This window comes from Homo sapiens, chromosome 4 (assembly GCF_000001405.40).
Source record: "Homo sapiens chromosome 4, GRCh38.p14 Primary Assembly".
Lineage (NCBI taxonomy): Eukaryota > Metazoa > Chordata > Mammalia > Primates > Hominidae > Homo > Homo sapiens.
The window spans coordinates 37,392,928-37,414,580 of record NC_000004.12 but is presented as its reverse complement, the minus strand read 5'-3'; the positions used below and the strand labels follow the sequence as shown (position 1 = coordinate 37,414,580).

The 21,653-nt window shown below is 41.1% G+C and overlaps 1 protein-coding gene across 1 annotated transcript in view, besides 1 other annotated feature; it reads right to left on the bottom strand.

Moving 5' to 3' along the window:
* The window catches only part of NWD2 (NACHT and WD repeat domain containing 2), a 204,721-nt gene that overhangs the window by 34,883 nt on the left and 148,185 nt on the right, over positions 1 to 21,653 (bottom strand). The gene's annotated exons all lie outside the window — the stretch shown is intronic.
* Positions 21,501 to 21,550: a silencer, noted in NCBI's record as "silent region_15347". NCBI's record gives its function as "represses an Ori minimal core promoter by ATAC-STARR-seq in GM12878 lymphoblastoid cells {active_cell/tissue: GM12878}" and the evidence as "EXISTENCE:reporter gene assay evidence [ECO:0000049][PMID:35858748]".

Below are 21,653 nucleotides of genomic sequence, written 5' to 3'. Positions count from 1 at the left end.
TGAATGATATTAAACAAGGTAAGATTCATGGCTTTAGCAGAGTCTTGTTACAGCGACTTCTGGAGCATAAAGGTAATTTATCTTTGTTTATTTCTAGGTTTTGGGTTTTTTTTTTTTTCAGGGCTGGCTGAGGCCACTTAAAGCTGATCTCTAGATGAAGAGGGTGTACTTCTCTATAAGGTGAAGAAGTCTAGTGTAGGCAGTAGTGATTTTTAAAAAGAGCTTATTGTGAAAACTTTCATACATGCTCAAAAGTACAGATAATAGCATAACAAGCCCCCAGATACCTATTACCAGCTTTACCAACTATCAACATTTTGATAATCCTATTTCAGAATCCTATCATTTGATCACAAAAATTCCTTCATCATGAATTTTTAAAATAAAAGTTTTAATGTAATCCTAACGATACTATTACATTCAGTAGAATTAAGGATAATTTCTTTTTTTTCTTTTTTTTATTATACTTTATGTTCTAGGATACATGTGGAGAACGTGCAGTTTTGTTGCATAGGTATACACATGCCATGGTGGTTTGCTGCACCTATCAACCCGTCACCTACATTAGGTATTTCTCCTAATGCTATCCCTCTCCTTGCCCCCCACCCCCTGACAGGCCCTGGTGTGTGATGTTCCCTTCTCTGTGTCCATGTGTTCTCATTGTTCAACTCCCACTTATAAGTGAGAACATGCGGTGTTTGGTTTTCTGTTCTTGTGATAGTTTGCTGAGAATGATGGTTTCCAGCTTCATCCATGTCTCTGCAAAGGACATGGACTCATCCTTTTTTATGGCTGCATAGTATTCCATGGTGTATATGTACCACATTTTCTTTATCCAGTCTATCATTGATGAACATTTGGGTTGATTCCAAGTCTTTGCTATTGTGAACCACACCGCAATAAACATATGTGTGCATGTGTCTTTATAGTAGAATGATTTATAATCCTTTGGGTATATACCCAGTAATGGGATTGCTGGGTCAAATGGTATTTCTAGTTCTAGATCCTTGAGGAATCGCCACACTGTCTTCCACAATGATTGAACTAATTTACACTCTCACCAATAGTGTAAAAGCATTCCTATTTCTCCACATCCTCTCCAGCATCTGTTGTTTTCTGACTTTTTAATGATCACCATTCTAACTGGTGTGAGATGGTATCTCACTGTGGTTTTAATTTGCATTTCTCTAATGACCAGTGATGATGAGCATTTTTTCATATGTCTGTTGGCTGCATAAATGTCTTCTTTTGAGAAATGTCTGTTCATATCCTTTGCCACTTTTTGATGGGGTTGTTTGCTTTTTTCTTGTACATTTGTTTAAGTTCTTTGTAGATTCTGGATATTAGCCCTTTGTCAGATGGATAGATTGCAAAAATTTTCTCCCATTCCGTAGGCTGCCTGTTCACTCTGATAATAGTTTCTTTTGCTGTGCAGAAGCTCTTTAGTTTCATTAGATCCCATTTGTCAATTTTGGCTTTTGTTGCCATTGCTTTCTGTGTTTTAGACATGAAGTGTTTGCCCATGCCTGTGTCCTGAATGGTATTGCCCAGGTTTTCTTCTAGAATTTTTATGGTCCTAGGTCTTACGTTTAAGTCTTTGATCCATTTTTTGTATAAGGTGTAAGGAAGGGGTCCAGTTTCAGTTTTCTGCATATGGCTAGCCAGTTTTCCCAACACCATTCATTAAATAGGGAATGTTTTCCCCATTGCTTGTTTGTGTCAGGATTGTCAAAGATCAGATGGTTGTAGATGTGTGGTGTTATTTCTGAGGCCTGTGTTCTGTTCTATTGGTCTATATATCTGTTTTGGTAACAGTAACATGCTGTTTTGGTTACTGTAGCCTTGTAGTATATTTTGAAGTCAGGTAGCATGATGCCTCCAGCTTTATTCTTTCTTGCCCAGGATTGTGTTGCTATTTGGGCTATTTTTGTTTCCACATGAAGTTTAAAGTAGTTTTTTGCAATGCTGTGAAGAAAGTCCATGGTAGCTTGATGGGGATAGCATTGTATCTATAAATTACTTTGGGTAGTATGGCCATTTTCACGATAATGATTCTTCCTATTCATGAGCATGGAATGTTTTTCCATTTGTTTGTGTCCTCTCTTATTTCCTTGAGCAGTGGTTTGTAGTTCTTCTTGAAGAGGTCCTTCACATCCCTTGTAAGTTGTATTCCTAGGTATTTTATTATCTTAGTAGCAATTGTGAATGGGAGTTCACTCATGATTTGGCTGTTTGTCTGTTACTGGTGTATAGGAATGCTTGTGATTTTTGCACATTGATTTTATATCCTGAGACTTTGCTGAAGTTGCTTATCAGTTTAAGGAGATTTTGGGCTGAGATGATGGGGTTTTCTAAATATACAATCATGCCATCTGCAAACAGAGACAATTTGACTTCCTCTGTTCCTATTCGAATTCCCTTTATTTCTTTCTCTTGCCTCATTGCCCTGGCCAGAACTTCCAATACTATGTTGAATAGGAGTGATGAGAGAGGGCATCCTTGTCTTGTGCCCATTTTCAAAGGGAATGCTTCCAGTTTTTGCCCATTCAGTATGATATTGGCTGTGGGTTTGTCATAAATAGCTCTTATTATTTCGATATACATTTCATTGATACCTAGTTTATTGAGAGTTGTTAGCATGAATGGGTGTTGAATTTTGTCAAAGGCCTTTTTTGCATCTATTGAGATAATCATGTGGTTTTTGTCATTTGTTCTGTTTATGTGATAGATTATGTTTATTGATTCACATATGTTGAACCAGCCTTGCATCCCAGGTATAAAGCTGACTTGATTGTGGTGGATAAGCTTTTTGATGTGCTGCTGGATTTGGTTTGCCAGTATTTTATTGAGGATTTTTGCATCGATGTTCATCAGAGATACTGGCCCTAAATTTTCTTTTTTTGTTGTGTCTCTGCCAGGTTTTGGTAAAAGGGTGATGCTGGCCTCATAAAATGAGTTAGGGAGGATTCCCTCTTTTTCTTTTGTTTGGAATAGTTTCAGAAGGAATGGTACCAGCTCCTCTTTGTATCTCTGGTAGAATTTGGCTATGTATCTGTCTGGTCCTGGACTTTTTTTGGTTGGTAGGCTATTAATTACTGCCTCAATTTCAGAACTTGTTATTGGTTTATTCAGAGGTTTGACTTCTTCCTGGCTTAGACTTGGGAGGGTATATGTGTCCAGGAATTTATCCATTTCTTCTAGATTTTCTAGTTTATTTGCATAGAGGTGTTTATAGTATTCTCCGATAGTAGTTTGTATTTCTGTGGGATCAGTGGTGATATCCCCTGTATCACTTTTTATTGTGTCTATTTGATTCTTTTCTCTTTCCTGCTTTATTAGTCTGGCTAGTGGTCTATTTTGTTGATCTTTTCAAAAAGCCAGCTCCTGGAATTTTTTGAAAGTTTTTTCATGTCTCTGTCTCCTTCAGTTCTGCTCTGATCTTAGTTATTTGTTGTCTTCTGCTAGCTTTTGAATTTGTTTGCTGTTGCTTCTCTAATTCTTTTAATTTTGATGTTAGGGTGTCAGTTTTAGATCTTTCCTACACTCTCTTGTGGGCATTTAGTGCTATAAATTTCCCTCTACACACTGCTTTAAATATGTCCCAGAGATTCTGGTATGTTGTGTCTTCATTCTCATTGATTTTAAAGAACACCTTTATTTCTGCCTTCTTTCATTATTTACCCAGTAGTCATTCAGGAGCAGTTTGTTCAGTTTCCATGTAGTTGTGTGGTTTTGAGTGAGTTTTGTAATCCTGAGTTCTAATTTGATTACACTGTGGTCTGAGAGACAGTTTGTTATGATTTCTGTTCTTTTGCATTGGCTGAGGAGTGTTTTACTTCCAATTATTTGGTCAGTTTTAGAATAAGTGTGATACGTGCTGAGAAGAATGTACATTCTGTTGATTTGGGGTGGAGAGTTCAGTAGATGTCTATTAGTTCCGCTTGGTCCAGAGCTGAGTTCAAGTCCTGAATATCCTTGTTAATTTTCTGTCTTGTTGATCTAATACTGACAGTGGGTTGTCAAAATCTCCCACTATTATTGTGTGGGAGTCTAAGTCTCTTTGTAGGTGTCTAAGAACTTGCTTTATGAATCTGGTGCTCCTGTGTTGGGTGCATATATATTTAGGATAGTTAGCTCTCCTTGCTGCATTGATCCCTTTACCATTATGTAATGGCTTTTTCTCTTTCGTTCTTTGTTGGTTTAAAGTGTGTTTTATCACAGATTAGGATTGCAACTCCTGCCTTTTTTTTGCTTTCCATTTGCTTGGTAAATATTCCTCCATCCCTTTATTTTGAGCCTATGTGTGTCTTTGCATGTGAGATGGGTCTCCTGAACACAACACACTGATGGGTCTTGACTCTTTATCCAATTTGCCAGTCTGTGTCTTCTAACTGGGGCATTTAGCTCGTTTACCTTTAAGGGTAATATTATGTGTGAATTTGATCCCGTCATTATGAAGCTAGCTGGTTGTTTTGCCCATTAGTTGATGCAGTTTCTTCACAGTGTTGATGTTCTTTACAATTTGGTATGTTTTTGCAGTGGCTGGTACCAGTTGTTCCTTTCCATGTTTAGTGCTTCCTTCAGGAGCTCTTGTAAGGCAGGCCTGGTGGTGACAAAATCTCTCAGCATTTGCTTGTGTGTAAAGGATTTTATTTCTCCTTTTCTTATGAAGCTTAGTTTGGCTGGATATGAAATTCTGGGTTGAAAATTCTTTTCTTTAAGAATGTTGAATATTGGCCCCTACTCTTTTCTGGCTTGTAGGCTTTCTGCAGAGAGATCTGCTGTTAGTCTGATGGGCTTCCCTTTGTGGGTAACCCGACCTTTCTCTCTGGCTGCCCTTAACATTTTTTCCTTCATTTCAACCTTGGTGAATCTGATGATTATGTGTCTTGGGGTTGCTCTTCTCGAGGAGTATCTTAGTGGTGTTCTCTGTATTTCCTGAATTTGAACGTTGGCTTGCCTTGCTACTTTGGGGAAGTTCTCCTGGATAATATCCTGAAAAGTGTTTTCCAACTTGCTTCCCTTCTCGTCACTTTCAGGTACACCAATCACACGTAGATTTGGTCTTTCCACATACTCCCATATTTCTTGGAGTCTTTGTTCATTCCTTTTTATTTTTTTTCCATAATCTTGTCTTCACGCTTTATTTCATTAAGTTGATCTTCAATCTCTGATATCCTTTCTTCTGCTTGATTGATTCAGCTATTGATACTTGTGTATGCTTCACGAAGTTCTTGTGCTGTGTTTTTCAGATCCATCAGGTCATTTATGTTCTTCTCTAAACTGGTTATTCTAGTTAGCCATTCCTCTAACCTTTTTTCAAGGTTTTTAGCTTCCTTGTGATGGGTTAGAACATGCTCCTTTAGCTTGGTGGAGTTTGTTATTACCCACCTTCTGAATCCTACTTCTGTCAACTTGTCAAACTCATTCTCCATCCAGTTTTGTTCCCTTGCTGGCAAGGAGTTGTGATCCTTTGGAGGAGAAGAGGCATTCTGGTTTTTGGAATTTTCAGACTTTCTGCCCTGGTTTCTCCCCATCTTTGTGGATTTACCTACCTTTGGTCTTTGATGTTGGTGACCTTTGGATGGGGTCTTTGAGTGGACATGCTATTCCTGTTTGTTAGTTTTCCTTCTGACAGTCAGCCCCCTCTGCTGCCAGTATACTGGTGTTTGCTGGAGGTTCACTCCTGACCCCGTTTGCCTGGGTATCACTAGTGGAGGCTGCAGAACAGCAAAGATTGCTGCCTCTTGTTTCCTCTGGAAGCTTTGTCCCAGAGGGGCACCTGCCAGATGCCAGCCAGAGCTCTCCTGTAGGAGGTGTCTGTCAGCCTCTACTGGGAGATGTCTCCCAGTCAGGATACATAGGGGTCAGGGACCCACTCGAGGAGGCAGTCTGACCCTTAGCAGAGCTCCAACGCTGTGCTGGGAGGTCTGCTGCTCTCTTCAGAGCCATCAGTTAGGGACGTTTAAGTCTGTTGAAGCTGTGCCCACAGCCAGGCCTTTCCCCTCATGCTCTGTCCCATTGAGATGGGGGTTTTATCTGCAAGTCCCTGACTGGGTCTGCTGCCTTTTTTTCAGAGATGCCCTGCCCAGAGAAGAAAAATCTGGCAGTCTGGCCATAGCAGCCTTGCTGAGCTGCAGTGGGCTCCACCCAGTTTGAACTTTCCAGCGGCTTTGTTTACACTGTGAGCATAAAACCACCTACTCAAGCCTCAGCAATGGTGGAGGCCCCTCCCCCAAGCAAGCTCGAGTGCCCCAGGTCAATCTCAGACTGCTGCTGTGCTGGCAGCGAGAATTTCAAGCCAGTGGATCTTAGTTTGCTGGGCTCCGTGGGGGTGGGACCTGCCGAGCCAGACCACTTGGCTCCCTGGCTTCAGCACCCTTTTCCAGGGAGGTTATCGGTTTTGTCTTGCTGGGGTTCCAGGCACCACTGGGGTATGGAAAAAAAGAACTCCTGCAGCTAGTTCAGTGTCTGCCCAAATGGCTGCCCAGTTTTGTGCTTGAAACCCAGGGCCCTGATGGAGTAGACAATGGAGGGAATCTCCTGGTTTGCAGGTTGTGAAGACCATGGGACAAGTGCAGTATCTGTGCTGGAGTTCCTCAGGCTCAGTTCCTCATGGCTTCCCTTGGGTAGGGGAGAAAATTCCCTGACCCCATGCACTTCCCGGGTGAGGCGACACCCCATCCTGCTTCTGCTCGCCCTCCATGGGCTGCACCCACTGTCCAACCAGTCCCAATGAGATCAACCAGGTACCTCAGTTGGAAATGCAGAAATCACCTGCCTTCTCTGTCGATCTCACTGGGAGCTGCAGACCGGAGCTGATCCTATTCCACCATGTTGCCCTATCAAGGATAATTTCTTAATTTAACTCCACACTTTGTCTACATTTAGTTCCCAGTTGCTTCAACATTTCTTTTTGCAGCTGCCTTGAATTAAGATCCAGGTGAAGTCTATACATTGTCTTAAGTTTGTAGGCTGTTAGAAGGCATTTTATTCTATAATATCCCCACTCCCTCTCACGTCACTGATTGGTTGGATAAGCAGGTTGTTTATCCTATCGACCAGTGGTTTTCAAAGTGTGGCCCCTGGATCAGTGGCATTAGTATCTCCTGGGAACTTGCCAGAAATGCAAATATTGTCCCACAGAATCACAAACTTTGGGAGTAGGGCCCAAGACATTTCTGTTTAACAAGCCCTCCAAGATCTCCTCCTTGGGTACTAATGTTGTTGAATATCTCACAGTGTAGATTTAGCTGGGTGCCACTCCTCCTGTTGTCATTTGCCTTCTTCAATTAGCTTCCCTATAAGTTGGTAGTTAGATTTAGAGCCTTAGTTATGTTCAGGTTCATTTTTTTCTTTAAGTTCTGGGATACATGTGCAGAATGTGCAGGTTACATAGGTATACATGTGCCATGGTGGTTTGCTGCACCTATCAACCTGTCATCTAGGTTTTAAGTCCTGCATGCATTAGGTATTTGTTCTAATGCCCTCCTTCCCCTAGCCCCCCACCCTGCTGACAGGCCCCTCCCTGTGTCCATGTGTTCTCATTGTTCAACTCCAACTTATGAATGAGAACATGCGGTGTTTGGTTTTCTGTTCCTGTGTTAATTTGCTGAGAATGATGGCTTCCAGCCTCATCCATGTCCCTACAAAGGACATGAACTCATTTTTTCTTTTTTTCTTTGAGATGGAGTTTTGCTCTTGTTGCTCAGGCTGGAGTGCAATGGCATGATCCTGGCTCACTGCAACCCCTGCCTCCTGGGTTCAAACAATTCTCCTGCCTCAGCCTCCCAAGTAGCTGGGATTATAGGTATGCGCCACCACACCTGGCTACTTTTGTATTTTTAGTAGAGACGGGTTTTCCCATGTTGGTCAGGCGGGTCTCAAACTCGTGACCTCAGGTAATCCACTCACCTCGGCCTCCCAAAGTGCTGGGATTACAGGTGTGAGCCACCACACTCATTTTTTATGGCTGCATAGTATTCCATAGTGTATATGTGCCACATTTTCTTTATCCATTCTATCATTCATGGGCATTTGGGTTGGTTTCAAGTCTTTGCTATGGTAAATAATGCTGCAATAAACATACATGTGCCTGTCTTTATAGTACAGTAGAATGATTTATAATCCTTTGGGTGTATACCTAGTAATGGGATTCCTGGGTCAAATGGCATTTCTGGTTCTAGATCCTTTTTTTAAGGCAAGAATTCTTGACAGATGGTGCTGTCCTTCCCACTGTATCAATTATGAAGCACAAAAGATCTCTGTGACTCGCTGTTAGAAATTCTGAGACAGGCCAATGCTTGGGATGTGTCGGTCTGTTTCACTGGCTGTCTAGATCCATTCTTTCCTTTGGGATTGCAAGACAATGATTTTCTAATATCACTTACTCTGCATTTATTAATCATTTTCTACCGTTTTGTTTTGCAGTTGCTGCTGTTGCTTATTTTGGGACTATGACAACCTCCAAGTTCAGAGTTAAAAGTGGCATGACTTAACGTGACTTCTTGTTTATAAATTTTAAAAAATCTTCAGAGAATTTTTTCATAACCCTTATGATAAACCCTGAACAGTTTAGAAACCACTTATTTAATTAGTGAAGAAATTACAATTTAACAGTTTCAATTCTGGGTTCTGGTTCTAAATCAATTGCTGTCTACCTGGGTGGCTATGCTAAGCCAAATTGCCTGATCAACAAAGATCTGTTAAGTATATCTAAATCCCCTGGTCCCCCTTTCTCTAAAATGACTGTAATATCACATATTCCTACCTACCTGGCAAAGATGTTAAAATGTTCCAAGATAACCTATGTCAGAGCACTCTGGGTGAAATTATAAAAATGCGTCCCTTAGACCTCACTCTTTAATCTATGAAGTAGAGCAATGTTTTTCTCAAACATTTTTTGACTGAGACCTACAGCAAGGAAAACATTTTATATTAAGACTCTGTTCAAGCAAACTCATGTTAGAAATGGAAAGTCGCAGTTGTCACCCCAGACCTATAGAATCAGAAATTCTGGGAGTGGATTCAGTAATTTCTTTCACCAAATAATTGTTAACTTTATTACATGCAATTCGCCCTGATGTTTTCTATTCTATTCTATTCTATTCTATTCTATTCTATTCTATTCTATTCTATTCTATTCTATTCTATTCTATTACATTCAACTAAAAAATTGCTGATGGCAACCTACTAGACAGAATGATTTATTGATCTACTATTAGACTGCTACCCACATTTCAAAAATGTATAATCCTCCCAAGAAAACCTCTTCCCTTACATGGTTTTAGAGTCGCTCTCCACAAGATTGCTTCATTCTTATAATTTGTCTCCCTGCAGGCAAGTGCCCCTGATCTCAGACACAATTACCTACAAAGTCAAGATGATGCTGTCATAAAGATATAAAATGGGTTCCCAGAGGTGGGTGACATTGATTTGAACTACAGGAAAATCTTTACACTGAGGATATTCATTTATTTGTTCATCGATTCATCATTTCAGTGAAGAGGAAGGTACGATAAATAGAAGACAAGATTATTGCCTGATATGGTTTGGATCTGTGTCCCTACACAAATCTCATGTTCAGTTGTAATCCCCAGTATTGGTGATGGGGCCTGGTGGGAGGTGATTGGATCAGAAAGGCGCTCTCTCATGAATGGTTTTACACCATCCCCTTTGGTGCTGCTGTCATGATAGTGAGTGAGTTCTCACCAGATCTGGTTGTTTATAAGTGTGTAGCACCTTCCCCTCTCTCTATTGCTACTGTTCCACCTTGTAAGACGTCTTGCTCCTCCTTTGCCTTCTGCCACAATTGTAAGTTCCCTGAGGCCTCTCCAGAAGCTGAGCGGATGTCGCCATGCTTCCTGTACAGCCTGTGGAACCACGAGCCAGTTAACCTCTTTTCTTCATAAATTATCCAGTCTCAGGTACTTCTTTATAGCTGTGTGAGAACTGACTAATACATTGCCCTTCCTGAGGTTATAGGCTGGATCAGAAAGAGGGATATGGGGCAGGCAAGCAGTGGTGAAAGAACAAAAAGCATGGTATTGTCTGTAAGGGCTCACAGACTTCAGAGAAGATGGAACTAATCAGAAGGTTGACTGTGGATGGAGAAGAAAGCAAAACTTGAACTGGCCTCCACTGGATAAAAAGGATTTCACTGGGCATATTGGGATGAGGGTGGGAAAGGACCTTCTAGATGGGGTATACAGCTAGGCAAATGCTCATAGTTATTAACAGGGAGGAGTGCTTTTCAGAGGCAATTAGAAGCCCGGCAATAATAACAACAGAGCTTTCATTTTTTATCAATAATCATATCACTTACTGAGTACTTCCTATGACATTGTAAGTTAGATACTGTTATTCCCAAGGTTGAGAAAGTCTAATTGGTCACACAGCAAGTATATGGCAAAATGGAGATGTAAACTCAGGTTTGCATAACTTTGAAGTTCAAAATCCTGTCCATTATTCTCTATAGCATGACTGGGATGAAGCTCACCCTAAGAGCCAGCATGTAATGGTATGTAATGGTATTTAAGGGATGAGTGGCTCAAGTGGGGACTGGCTGAGGAATGTGGATCTAATTCTATAGGTCTCTCACTCCTATAATCTTGATGAACTACAAGATGCTAATTGTTTTGAAAAGGAAGTACTAAAGTTTGTCAGTGAAAATTTAATTAGGGCTACTATCAGTATCATTCTTATGAGCTTTCATTTTAATGTACATTCCTGAATTGGACCTAAAAGTGGTTCAATTCCCACAAACTGCACATGACTTGAAGCCTATCTCTTTTATGCCATAGACTATAAAAATAGCCAAGTCTGCCTACAGAAATGTTTCACAAATGTGAACCCCATGTTTGCAGTGTATGTAATGCAGAAACAAGTAGAGTCGCTTTTTTCTGCTATCAAAGATGATCTATGCATTATAGCTTTGTCCTAGAGAGGATTTGAGCTTTAAATCAGGTCTAATGATGCTTCATGCAAGTGAGAATGAGAGAAAGAAAAATGCAGGCAAAACTCATCTTTTTGTCAGGAACCCACTCCTCAGAAATCGTCTCCACTGGGGAAACTGGATCTGACTCCTAGGAGTTTGTTTCCCCCTGTACTAGGAGCACGAATGTTCTTATAGTTGGGTAGTTTCCCTGGGGCCCCTAGATCTTTGCACATGTGGCTGCTTTAATTATTCTGGACCCTTCATGTTCACCTGAGCTAAACTAGGTATTCAAAAACCTATTACAACACTCTCTCTTATTGTTCCCTTGATCCATATCACTAGGTAAAAATGACCTTTTTAAAATTTGTTTTCTTGTTTATCATGTTTCTTTTCTTTTCCACTATAAACTACCAGAATGAAGGGTCCTTGTCTGTCTCGCTCATCACTGCATTCTCATGCCTAGAACAGTGCCTGGTACATAATAAGGGCACAATAAATATTTGTTGGAAAAGAGAGGGTAGTTCCTGAGAGTGGCATGCTGTGGGCTTAGAAATCTTCTCCACACCTTTTCTTCTAGTAGACTTTGTTCTTGGTGACTCCACAAAAAGATTAGGAAGAAGTGAGCTGCCTAACTCTCTCTCTCTCTCAGGGAATTAATTATTAGGGTTGGGACCTCTTAGTAATCAGGAAATCCTTGAAGCATTCAAAGTACAGTTGTCTATGCTATGAAAAACAACGCATCAAACATAAAAACTAGTACATTTTATATAACAAAAGCTGACAAAAGACAATAGTGATGGTTAAAATAACAAAATCTTAGACTTGGTAGAAAGTTTAGGGAGAATGTAGTTTCCTCATTTCAGAGATGAGGAAATTGAGTCTTCCCAAAGTTTTAAATGACATTACAGAACCCATGCAGCTGGGTTTGTGAACAGCCAGGGCTAGAACGTATTAGCATTTCTAATCCCAGCCTGATCTTTCTACTTTACACACATAAATGCCTTCTTCATATGAGAACTTCAAAATAATAATTCAATTCACCAATAGATAAAAATTCTAGATATGGGGGAAGTACATTGCATTTAAATAATATTACAGAAGACAATGTCTGATGAAAATGAATCCACATTGTCTTCTTCCCTATAATACCTCTGTGATTATCCATTTGGCTAACAGTACACAATGTAATTCAGTGCTTCAACATCTAATTTTCATAAATCACCATGTTTGTTGCTGGGAAAGATAAAAAGAAAAGGAAAAAGACGCTATTCCTGATCTCAGACACATAGAACTAACTACAATGGAAGGCAGTGCTATAATGAAAGCATAAAATAGGTGCTATTCTAGTGGGTTTTGTGCTGCTATAAAAGAATATCTGAGACTGAGAAATTTATAAAGAAAATAAATTTATTTCTCACAGTTCTGGAGGCTGAGAAGTCCAAGGACGTGACAGCAACATCTCCTCAGCATCTGGTGTGGCCCTTCTTGCTGTGTCATAACATGGCATAAGGGTAAGTTAGCATACAGAACAGAGAGAGAAACTGAGGCTGAAGTCATCCTTTTTATTGGGAATCTACTCCTGAAATAACGAATTCACTCCTAAGGTAATGGTGTTAATCAATTTATGATTAATGAATTAATCACCTCTTAAAAGTCCCAGCTCTTAATATCATCACAATGACAATTGAATTTCAGCATGAATTTGGGAGGGTCCACTCAAACCATAGCAGGTACACGGAAGTGGGTATCATTGATCTGCACTGGAACACAGAGGAAGGTTTTTCACTGAGGACGATTTCAACAAGAGGAGAAAAGACACTGCAGATGGGAAAATAACAAGGGCAGAAGTTCAGAGGTCTGAAGATGGGCATGGATGTTCAAAGAACCAGAAAGGTGTGCAGAAGATACTTGTTCTAGAAAAGAAAGTAGAAGGCCTCAAGGTGGATAGTAGAAGACCTTCAGGCTTATATTAAATTTTTTTTCTAATTCTTTTTGGAGATCTCTGAGTTTTTGGGTAGGGGACTAACATAATCACACGTGTATTTTAATGAAATAATTCTGGCATAAAATTCTGGGAAGAAAGCAGCTGCAGCTGGAGGGATCAATGAGGAGCCCAGGTGAGAGAAGATGAGGTTCTGAACCTGGGAAGTACCCAAAGCAATGGAATAGAGTCACAGATGGAAGACAATGTGTGAGTCTGTAAACCACACAGGGACAGGGAGGAATCAAAAGTACAAGAGACAAAGAGTTAACTGTCAGAGAAGATCCTGGGGCAGTGAAGATCAAGGTGGTATCTCTGGAGAGCAGTTTTTCTTGTTAAGCCAGTTGGCAAACTGGGCCAAATGGAGGTAGGAGATCTTCTCAGGTGGAGATGGGTAGGCACACCCAGGGGGCTCATGGAGGCTGTCCTCTGTTTCTCAATAAGAGGGAAATAAGATCTCTGGCCAAGGAGGAAAGAGAGCACAGATAAGTTTAGGGACTGGATAAGTGAAAAATGGCTATACAAAATTGACATTACAAGCTGTTCTAGGAGACATGGCCCTTAATTTAATCAGTAGTTTACTGACACTTACATTACCTATATCTGCTTTTTAAACACAAGTGTTATGATCACTTGTTCTGTTTGTGCCTTGTACAAAATGACTATACAACTCCAATGAATAGCACAGGTCACTGAAGAATGCTTAATAATCCTGCTTTCCAAGTGCTATGGTTTGGATATGGTTTGTTTGGCCCTGCCATGTCTTGCGTTGAAAGGTATTCCTTTATTGTAACACACATGGATTAAGATATCAAGTAAAGTCTGTTTCAGTTGACGTTTAAGCATAACGTAAGAACCACAGCAAAACAATATAACTATTGTTCTTTAAGGAAAGACCATCTGGCTTTTCCAATTCTCATTTCAAGAAATGCAAATTGATTGACATGAAACCCACACACTTTCCATTTTGTTTGTAATGCATTAATGGTCACAGTAAAAGCAAAATACTCCATCATAGCTTCCATAAAATGCTATTTGTCAGTTACTCATCAAGAGCAGGCATATAGGGAAATTAGTCACAAAGCTGAACTGAAATGAAATGTTTGAGAATTCTTAGCTGGCTTTCTGAACATGGGCAAGAATCAGGTACATTTTTCTATTGAAAATGGTCCTTCTAAGTGAATTGATGATGAGAGGGAACTCTCTGTGTCACTCAAGGGAGGAAATATATGTCACCACTCCAATTTTCTGACTACAGATGGGCAATTCCTCTTCACTGCAGGCTGGTTAACAGCCACAGGCAAATGGAAAAATCCATGCTGAATGAGCCAGATGCCCTAAAACACAACTCACAAAGGTAATTTCTCTTTATTTTCCCACTGGAAGGATTGCTGGGGAAATTGACCTGTTAGCTCTGAGCTTCTTCATTACTTAAGATACATAGGACAGATAGCAACACACTTGGAGACTAATACTAGGAATATTAGAATGGGTGGGAAGGCAAACTAATGGTAAGGGATTTTAAAAGGGGCAATTTACCCATATGTATCTGTTTAGATTCTGTTGATTTCCAAAGTTGCTGAAGCTTCCAGTTTTGAGATGGTTGGGGATACAGAGTCTACAATCTTAACTCCAGTTACCTGCTACTTACTGATTTAGAAAATATGTGAGACAGAAAGGAAATGTCTAAAAGTTTCAGAAAGGAAAACCTGGTCTAGTGATACTCGAACCTGAGCATGCATCAGAATCATGCATCTGGTGAGCTTGTTAAAACACCGGGCCTCTCCCTAGAATTTTTGATTCTTTAGTTCTGGAATGAGGACAGGCAATCTGCATTTCTAAGCAATTCCTAGGTGATATAGATGCCACTGGCATGGGACTGTACCTGAAGAAGCAGCATAAAATTACAATCCCAAGTAAAAGCATAGAGTTTAGGCCTTAAAGAAACTTACAGAAATTAAGTTTGTTCTGGAGAAAGAGGATAAAAAAGAAAACCATGTTACCACCCCAAAAGATTGAGTCAGAGGTCACTTCACATCAACAATAGGCAGAATTGGAGAAAGAGGTCTTAAGTGGGAAAGAGAGCTATTTTAAAACTAGGAATAAGGGAAATATTGGGCCACCAGGTTAAATGAGGGATTTTTCAACTGAGTGATCTCAAAGAGAAATCCTTCATCATTTTAATTCAAAAGTAGTAACTTTAAGATATGTAGCTAATAAAATAAGGGCATTGGAAAGAAGCCAAAAAATTCTTTTAAAAATACTTATCTTAACCAAGGTGTCTGGAATTAAAAATAATATAAACTGGGGTTAAGCTGAATCCAGGCCTGTTCCTACTATATTCTTGGAGCCAGAAGATGGCCAGAGAGGCTTAAAAAGTGAGGTCCACTGCCTCAGCCACCCATGAAATGAAAATGTGATTGGCTCTGCTGGTGTGACAAACTCCTTATCTAGATATTTCTTGAGAGACTTGGGTGGGAAAATTACAAAGCCATAAGCATTGACCTTCATATGTGGACCTCATCTGCAACGTCTCTAAATGTGCAACTAAAGACACAAGCCGCCATTTAAAAAGAACATTAAATATGTTGCTTTCAAAATTCAGTATTATAAAATGTGTACCTTTCTTGATGAACTGTCATGCTTCGTTTTTATCATATGATGAAAAATGTGAAATTTACTATGTTCCACTTTTTGTCATGGCAGCCAAGAAATCCCATGTTGTCTTCTGTTCACATCTGGCGTTTTCCCTTGAAGGCATTTCTGATATAGTTGTTTCTCCCTAGCTCCTTATTTCTTAGCCAGCATTCATTTTTGTCTCTTTTAATGTGGAAAAAAAAAGCAAAGGCAAAACTAAAAACTTACTGTTTCTTTTAATATAAGTTTCTGTTAAATTCTTTTTGGCATAGATATGATTATATATAGTGAGTTAAAAAAATATAACCCTGTTTAGTCACGAATACTTGCAAAGCACATAAGAGTCTGTTTATAAAGATAAGGCTGACCCTAAAGCAGGATGTCCTTTTTAGGGGCCAAAGGTTGTGGCAAAGACCATAGGCTTTGAATGCAGACTTCTGGGATTTGAAACCTGTCCCTGCCATATTGGTTGGGTGACATGGTTTGCTGCACCTATGAACCCGGCATGTAGGTTTTAAACTCTGCATGCATTAGGTATTTGTCTTAATGCTCTCCCTCCCCTTTCTCCCCACTCCTCCGACAGGCCCCAGTGTGTGACGTTCCCCTCCCTGTGTCCATGTGCTCTCATTGTTTAGCTCCCACTTATGACTGAGAACATGCAGTGTTTGGTTTTCTATTCCTGTGTTGTTTTGCTGAGGATGATGGTTTCCAGCTTCATCCATGTCCGTGAAAAGGACATGAACTCATTCTTTTTTATGGCTGCATAGTATTCCATGGTGTATATGTGCCACATTTTGTTTATGACCCTGGATAAGTTATTTAACCCCTCTAGGCCTTGGGCCTTAGTAAAATGGCCTTAACTGAAGTACCAGCCTCCAAAGAATCTGGTGAGGATTAACTGATGTTTGAATAGAGTGCTTTGAACAATGCCTGCCCATGGTAAGTATTTGGTAAATGTTATCTATTTTAATTCAAAGTAGTGGTGATGAAACTGTGCAACTCACTCAGTTGCGGAGTTAAATGGTGCTGCTTCAATGCATGTTTCTGGACAATGACAGATCTGTTTTCAATTTAGAGTTGATTTGGAAGATAGGCTTCCACCAAATGAGTGCTCACAATGAGACCCTTCTACAGCCATAGCATGGCCAATGCAGAACCCAGAGGCAGTGGACAGAGAGAATAACAGAAAGATGCAGTAGAGGAGGGAGGGAGAAAGAGAGAGAGAGAGAGAGAGAGAGGCTGTTCCCAGGGTAACAAGTTGCTAGGGACAAACATTTGGCAAGGGGTACTGGCGAGAAATTTCCTTCGTCAAGCAATTTCCTTCAACAATGTCTAATGAAAGTGATCTGTACTTACAATGAACCTGAGAACGCTGGGGAATTGGTAATAAGGGCTCTGAAGTCACCTTCACTCCAGAACGAGCTACTTTATGGGGGCTGGCAAGTCCGACTCTGCAGGGCAGGCTGGCGGCTGGAGAACCAAGGTGAGAGCTGGGGTTGCAGCTCAAGCCTGAAGGTAATATGCAGGCAGAATTCCTTCTTCCTGAGGGACCTCAGTCTTTATCTCTCAAGCCCTCTTCAACTGATTGGATGAGGCCCATCCACATGATGGAGGGTAATCTGCTTTACTCAAAGTCTACTGATTAAAATGTTAATCTCATCTAAAAAAGTACTTTCACAGAAAAATACAGACTGGTATTTGACCAAATACCTGGGTACTCTGGCCCGGTGAATTTGACACATAAAACTAACCCTCACAAGGACTTTCCCTAAACCTCAGGATTTTCATTAAAACCTGAAGGAAGGGCAATAGGCTATTGCAACACTGTAATGAGAAGCTCCTAGACACACCTGCTGGGCTGACTAAAAAGTGGCCACCCTATTCCTGAGATGCTCATCCCTATCACCAACTCCCAGGCTATCTCACTGAAGACTGGAGACTGGAGAGGGATTCATTCCAGGAAACCAGAGGAGTTGCTTCGCTTTTTTTTTTTGCAACAGAGTTTCACTCTTGTCACCCAGGCTGGAGTGCTATGGCACGATCTTGGCTCACTGCAACCTCCGCCTCCTGGGTTCAAGCAATTCTCCCACTTCAGCCTCCCGAGTAGCTGGGATTACAGGCATCCACCACCACACCCGGCTAATTTTTGTATTTTTAGTAGAGATGGGGTTTCACCATGTTGGCTAGGCTGGTCTCGAACTCCTGACCTCAGTTGATCCACCCGCCTCGGCCTTCCAAAGTGCTGGGATTACAGGGGTGAGCCACCGTGCCCAGCCTCGCTTTGCTTTTTACTTTCCTCAGATTGAGTTCCACTTCTCTCATCAAGGGAGGGAAGTTCCATCTGTAGAGACTGGGCAGATCACATTTGACTCCCTGACTGAGACCTGTTGAGCTGAAGAAGCTTATAGAATCCTCTCCAGTGAACACATCAGGTGGAACACACTTAGAGATTTCTTGAGAGAACCTGAGATGTGGCTCCAGGAGCTTTGGAGGATTTGAAAATATGGAGACTGGTTCCTGCTTCCCTTGTAAAGAATAGTGACGGCAACCAACTATGGAGAGCTGCCCATGAAGTCAGGATAAGGTAGCCTGTGCTTCCAGAGATGGGCATGGTCAGGGGTAAGGAGGTGTGAGTTTCCTGAATTAGAAGGCATGACAGAGTCAGGCTCCAACCATCTTAAAGGGACTTCATCCAACAGGGCCACATGCCAGGGCGAGGACTCCACCAGTAAGAAGAAATAAGGTGGATTGCTGGGGTAGGAGTGGAACTGGGGTGGTAGCCCTAAGAAGACAATCGGATAATATCATTTGTGTCAGGAAGGAGAGTTCCACTAAAAGCCTCCTCACAAATGAGCTCCATGAAAGAGCTCCCAGTATTTGTGCACCAGTCATGATGGCATGCAAGACGGCAGGCAGGGTTGGCTTAAATTTGTACAACCAGCATACTGAAGGGGCTGAGCTCAATTGAGGACACATAGGAGAAGGAACAGAGAACTTGGAGTTTGTTTTGTTTTTTGCATCGCTGCCTATAAATGTGCATTGCTGAATTCCTTCCCACTGGGGAAGCAATACATCTCAGACAGGTGCTATCAAGATTCACTTTCAAGTAGTAAGTCCAAGCCAGTCCAAATCAAAATGTCAGTCCCACACCCAGTTTAAAGGGTCTGCCTCTCCCAGAGGTCGCAGTGAGCCGAGATCATGCCATTGCACTCCAGCCTGGGCAACAGGCTGGAGTTTTTGCTCCTTGTCTTCTATTTCCCCTTCCCTTATATTGACCTGAAAAACGGAGAAATAGTACTTTGAGGTCCAGAAGGCTGGGAGTGGGATGAAGGAAGAACAAAGAGGGCTGATCTGAGAATTGACAAGGCCCCTTCCCCATAATGGATCTGAGAAATTGAACCAAGGAGAGGCAGACTCTTTTTTTTTTTTTTTTTTTTTTTTTGAGACAGAGTTTCGCTCTTGTTGCCCAGGCTGGAGTGCAATGGCATGATCTCGGCTCACTGCGACCTCTGGGAGAGGCAGACCCTTTAAACTGGGTGTGGGACTGACATTTTGATTTGGACTGGCTTGGACTTACTACTTGAAAGTGAGTCTTGATAGCACCTGTCTGAGATGTATTGCTTCCCCAGTGGGAAGGAATTCAGCAAAGCACATTTATAGGCAGCGATGCAAAAAGGAAAACAAACCCCAAGTTCTCTGTTCCTTCTCCTATGTGTCCTCAATTGAGCTCAGCCCCTTCAGTATGCTGGTTGTACAAATTTAAGAAGACTTAGCCCTTAAGAAGTTTAGCATGTGTCACCATTGTTCTGATTTATCATACACTTTGGAAGGCTGTGTGGCCCTCCACATGTCAGGGCACTATCTGTCTGTCAACTGAGGGCTAGGAGGAGGGTGAGGTCTCAGTTAAGAATTAACATAAAGGGGCCAGGCACACTGGCTCACGCTTGTAAGCCCAGGATTGGGGGGCGGGTGGATCACTTGAGGTCAGGAGTTTGAGACCAGTCTGGCCAACATGGTGAAACCCCATCTCTACTAGAAAAAAAAAAATTAGCTGGGCATGGTGGTGTGCACCTGTAATCCCAGCTACTCGGGAGGCTGAGGCAGAGGAATCACTGGAACCCAGGAGGCAGAGGTTGCAGTGAGCCAAGATTGCACCACTGCACACTCCAGCCTGGGCAGTGGAGGGAGGCTCTGCCTCAAAAAAAAAAAAAAAAAAAAAAAAAAAAACCATAAAGGTTCACTATAGAGGAAAATAGGCCAATTTGTATTATATTCTGAGTAAATGAGACAGTCAGGGAGAAACAAATTTCCTATATACGTGGATACGTCTCTACTGCAAACACTAGTTAGTAAGTTTCCTGTTCCTCTAGGGTTAGACTAGCTTTCAGGTAAGATAAATAAAAAATAAATTAGTGATGCTGCAGAGCACATATAACACTAGTGCCATGGCTTATACATAGCCCTTCTTTTAATTAACTGTTGGAGTGGGCAATCTACTCCTCTCACTTTATTATCATGATTTTTGAGTCTTATCAGTAAGTACTTAAATGCCTATTTCTGGGGATCACTGTCATTTACTGTGCTAGATACTATACAAAGCAATATAATTGATTTTTCAGTTTGTATTAATCAATAACTGTTATTTATGTCTAGCATCTGCTCTGAGCCATCCTGGCATGAACTAATTTCATTATCTCCCTTGCAAAACCTTGGTCTCACTCTATGGAGACTTCTAGACTAATCACGTGAAAACAACAAAGATGAATATATAAAGAAAATATGGCAAAGAAGAATCTTACGATGAAAACAGATGCTAGACAGATAACAATGAGGTGAGATTATACATTTACTTAAGTGCTCAGTGTGGTTATCTAAACAGATGCTAGATAGATAACAATGAGGTGAGATTATACATTTACTTAAGTGCTCAGTGTGGTTATCTTAAGGGATGGAAAATATTAGGCAGATGAGAGCCACAAAGATTTCCACATTCCCACTGCAGGTTTCTCTTCCCCAATTAATTTTCCATCTTTCTTAGAGGCTGTCTGAAAGAAACAACACTCATGTTTGCAGGTCCATCTTTGCCATTGGGGAACCGTTCTTTTCACAACTCTATGCCAAAGTCAAGAATTACCCTTCCAAAGATAGCCTTGTACTCCCAGCCTAGGGAGTAAAGGAATCAGACCAATTCAAGTGGCCCAATGGAGCTGAGCCTTAAGAAGCAGAAAGTTCTGAGAGGAGAGAGGGATGTTAAGTTAACAGGAAATCTGCAGAAGTCCGTGTTACATCAGGAGCTGTGAAGAATATATATAGCAGAAGGGAAGTTAGGAAGCCAGTAACCCCAAATTCAAGCCAACAGAGTGCTCGCTGCTGCAGAGAATTCAGCTTTTCAATGTATTTGGAAAGAAAGATTAAAATAGTGGTCCCTACTAAGAGACGCAATGGCCCGTTAAGGAGTCTGTGGTAGTAGTTGCATCCATTTTGCATTTCCTAGTATGTCTGGACCATCTTCTTTGGAAACTTTCCAGTTGTACTTATATTGAGTAATTATGGATTTTCTCCACTCTTTATCACATGTTTTGACATTTCTTCTCATGACAACACATAGCCTAGGAAATAACAAAAGGTCTTGATTAAGAAAATTAAAACTACTAAAATTTCTTGAGAACCCCTTCCAAAAACTTAAGGGTCAATCATTTCTGTTGTAAAATTTCTGACAGAGAAAATATATAAAAGGCCCAACAAAATGATGATTATTCATAGCATGAAAGACAGTTTTCTCTGAATCCCATCTTTTATTTGATTCTGATCAAGGTCAGAGTCTCCCCCCAACCCCCGGATGTTTCCTCCTAGCCTAAAGTGAACCCTTTGTTTTCTAAGAAAAGGGCCCAACATTCATGGCTTGGCCTCACTGCCTGCTCCCTTTCACTTCCTGAGGCGCCGTGGATCAGAGCCAATGCATTCAGAGAAGGGAACCAAATGACTGCCTGCTCCCAGGCGCTGTTCACTTGAGTGTGGCTGGAAATGATTTTATGTCAGACCGAGATTTGGGTCAAGAGAATTTCTGAAGCGTCCACAACATTCACAGACATCCTAGGG